The sequence below is a fragment of the Homo sapiens genome, chromosome X, assembly GCF_000001405.40.
Source record: "Homo sapiens chromosome X, GRCh38.p14 Primary Assembly".
Classification (NCBI taxonomy): domain Eukaryota; kingdom Metazoa; phylum Chordata; class Mammalia; order Primates; family Hominidae; genus Homo; species Homo sapiens.
The window spans coordinates 113,987,578-113,990,781 of NC_000023.11; the positions used below are offsets into that span (position 1 = coordinate 113,987,578).

Genomic DNA, 3,204 nt, shown 5'->3' on the forward strand with positions numbered 1-3,204 from the left:
ATGTCTGTTAAGATAAACTTTGCTGTTGGTCCCTGAAAGAAAAACTGGGTAAGGTTTCCCTCTTGTCTTGTTTTACGTCCTTGAGAGCTTGATTTTGTGACTAAGTGGCATATTCTCTCATAGTCTCTACTACCCAGAGGGCATGAATTTTTGTGGTCAAGTGGACAGTCTGAAAGACTGGGAGTCCAACACACATAATATTTTAAGCAACACACTCTTTGTACCAAGTGTGTCAAGCTCTTAGAGGAGTTTTGTCTTAAAAAAAGGCTTATCCCTATGACACCTTCATTGTCTTTTGTCTATGTTAAGTCTATTTCTGAGAGTAAATTTTTGGGGATCAGGGAGCTGCCTCCTCTACATTACAGAGGTTTTGGATTGAGTTGCTATTGGAATAAAGCCTACAATTGAGAATTCTAATCGTCAATGGCCAAAAGATAGAAAAACAAAAAAGATTTTAGAGATGACTTATTCTAAACAATTGGAAAAAAAGTTTAAATTTTTAAAAAGATACACAATAGTGTCATGGCTAGCCTTTAAAATTCTCTCAAGCAGTTAAAATCCTATGTAAGTTCAAAACTGCCTGCTCCAGAAGAGCAATGGTGACTGCCCCACACTGTATTTTAGTAGCTGAGACTCTGCCCTTTCACTGTGGCAATCTGGGTTCAATTCTTGGCTCAGAGAATGAATCCTTTCTGGTTTGATATTTGTGTGACTTTTGAAATATCAACTGTTCCAGCTAAAATATGATAGTGAGAGATTGGAAAGAATTTTTTTAGAACTCTATGGTTAAAAGTCAGCTTCATTAAAAGCCGATTTCTGTCAGGCCTCTGAGCCCAAGCCAAGCCATCACATCCCCTGTGACTTGCACGTATACGCTCAGATGGCCTGAAGTAACTGAAGAATCACAAAAGAAGTGAAAAGGCCCTGCCCCGCCTTAACTGATGACATTCCACCATTGTGATTACTTCCTGCCCCACCTTAACTGAGTGATTAACCCTGTGAATTTCCTTCTCCTGGCTCAGAAGCTCCCCCACTAAGCACCTTGTGACCCCCGCCCCTGCCCACCAGAGAACAACCCCCTTTGACTAATTTTCCATTACCTTCCCAAATCCTGTAAAACGGCCCCACCCCTAACTCCCTTCGCTGACTCTTTTCAGACTCAGCCCGCCTGCACCCAGGTGAAATCAACAGCCATTTTGCTCACACAAAGCCTGTTTGGTGGTCTCTTCACAGGGACGTGCATGAAAATTTCCAAGCTGTGTGTGTGTACATGTGTGTGTGTGGTGTATATGTGTTTATATATGTGTGTATATACGTGTGTGTGTATATATGTGAGGGTGTGTATATATATGACATCTGTGTGTATGTGTGTGGTATGTATGTATGTTTACGTGTGTGTGTGTGTGTGTATATATATATATATATATATATATATATATATATATATATATATATATATAAAATGACCTTTGTGTGTGAGTGTGTGTGTATAAAGACCTGAATGCTTTTTCTCTTCTAGGATTTTGTGGTTGTTGTTGTTGTTTTGAGAAAAAGTTTTTTCTTCTCAGTCAACTGACTTCTGTTTCTCCATTTACGTCTGACTGCCTCCCTCTTGCCACTATATGCCACATGTGAGACCTAACAAAAAAATAAGGAATTTATGATAGCCTGGGATCCCCTGAGAAATCACAGGACACTAACAACTCCTCTGAAAGGAATCTGTTTTCCTCAAGGAACCCCACAAGTTTTAGGCAGACAGATTCCACTTAGGTATAAAAATTCTACTCTCTTTTGTGTTGTATTACCTGATACTTTGGATTTTGGAGGAGTACCAAAAAAGTTATTTTGCATTATGAGAAAATTTTTTACTTTGGTGTGTGTAATAGCTAAGTAAGAGATACACTTTCAGAGATGGCTAATGGCGGTTGCTTACAGGAAGTAGTCATTACTACAGGAGCTACTCTTTGCATGTTTAAGATAAGAAAGGATGCAGTTTAAACTCTTAGAAAAATGTCTGTAAAAGAAAGCATTAAATGGCTTGGTTCCATGCCATTTCTCCCTTTTTGGGTACCCAGGATTCAGTGTAGGCTCCACCCTGAGCTCAGTGGTCCAGTTAAAAGACAGAGACTAAATTTAAAACTACCTATCTAGGCCAGGCTCAGCGGCTCACGCCTGTAATCCCAGCACTTTGGGAGGCCGAGGCAGGTAGATCACTTGAAGTCAGGAGTCTGAGACCAGTGGGGCCAACATGGTGAAACCCCATCTCTACTAAAAATACAAAAAATTAGCCAGGTGTGGTGGTACAAGTCTCTAATCCAAGCTACTTAGGAGGCTGAGACAGGAGAATCGCTTGAACCAGGGAGGTGGAGGATGCAGTGTGCCGAAATCATGCCATTGCACTCCAGCCTGGGCGACAGGGCAAGACTTCATCTCAAAAAAAAAAAAACAAAAACAAAAACACAAACAAAAACAACCTATCTAAATGAATTGGTCACCTTAAAAAATCTTATGGTAAATTTCTATGATTTTGTGTTGCCCTGGCATCTATTCTTAATCTTGCTCTAACACACCCAAACACACTCTGACTCTCTCTCTTTCTCTCCCTGTACTTTGAAATGTAAATTTGCTACCCTCTTTTCTCCAAAACTCAGTAAGGGTGTCTACCATGGCCATGTAAAACAAATAAACTTTAACCTTTTCACAATTTAACCCACCTTTCCTTTTAAACTAGTGAGTTTATCTGTTTCATGGCTAAAATTTTACAATCAACACTATAAAGTCTTTGTAATGCTCTGTATCTTTATGTGTACATGGGTATATGTCTTTCTGTGTACTGTCTACATGGGTATCAAATTGACTTACTCGTAAATTAAATAAATAAGCCCAAATGCCTTCCAAGTTCACATGATTTTAGTAATCTCTGGTAAATAAAGAGTTTTTTAATTATTGGTAAAATAGCATAGAAATGCATTTAAAATTTAGACATTTGGTCTGAATTAGTCACTGTTTCTGCTAGATGTTTTAAGATAAACGTGGGGAAAAGAAAGATGAGATTGTTACTGTGTCTGTGTAGAAAGAAGTAGACATAGGAGACTCCCATTTTGTTCTGTACTAAGAAAAATTCTTCTGCCTTAAGATGCTGTTAATCTGTAACCCTACCCCCAACCCTGTGCTCCCTGAAACATGTGCTGTGTCAACTCAGGG

At 39.1% G+C, this 3,204-nt stretch overlaps 1 annotated feature.

The window, feature by feature from the left end:
* Positions 629 to 1,328: an enhancer, noted in NCBI's record as "OCT4-NANOG-H3K27ac hESC enhancer chrX:113231447-113232146 (GRCh37/hg19 assembly coordinates)". NCBI's record gives its function as "activates a minimal SCP1, AML or CMV promoter by ChIP-STARR-seq in naive H9 embryonic stem cells {active_cell/tissue: H9 hESC(naive)}" and the evidence as "EXISTENCE:reporter gene assay evidence [ECO:0000049][PMID:30033119]".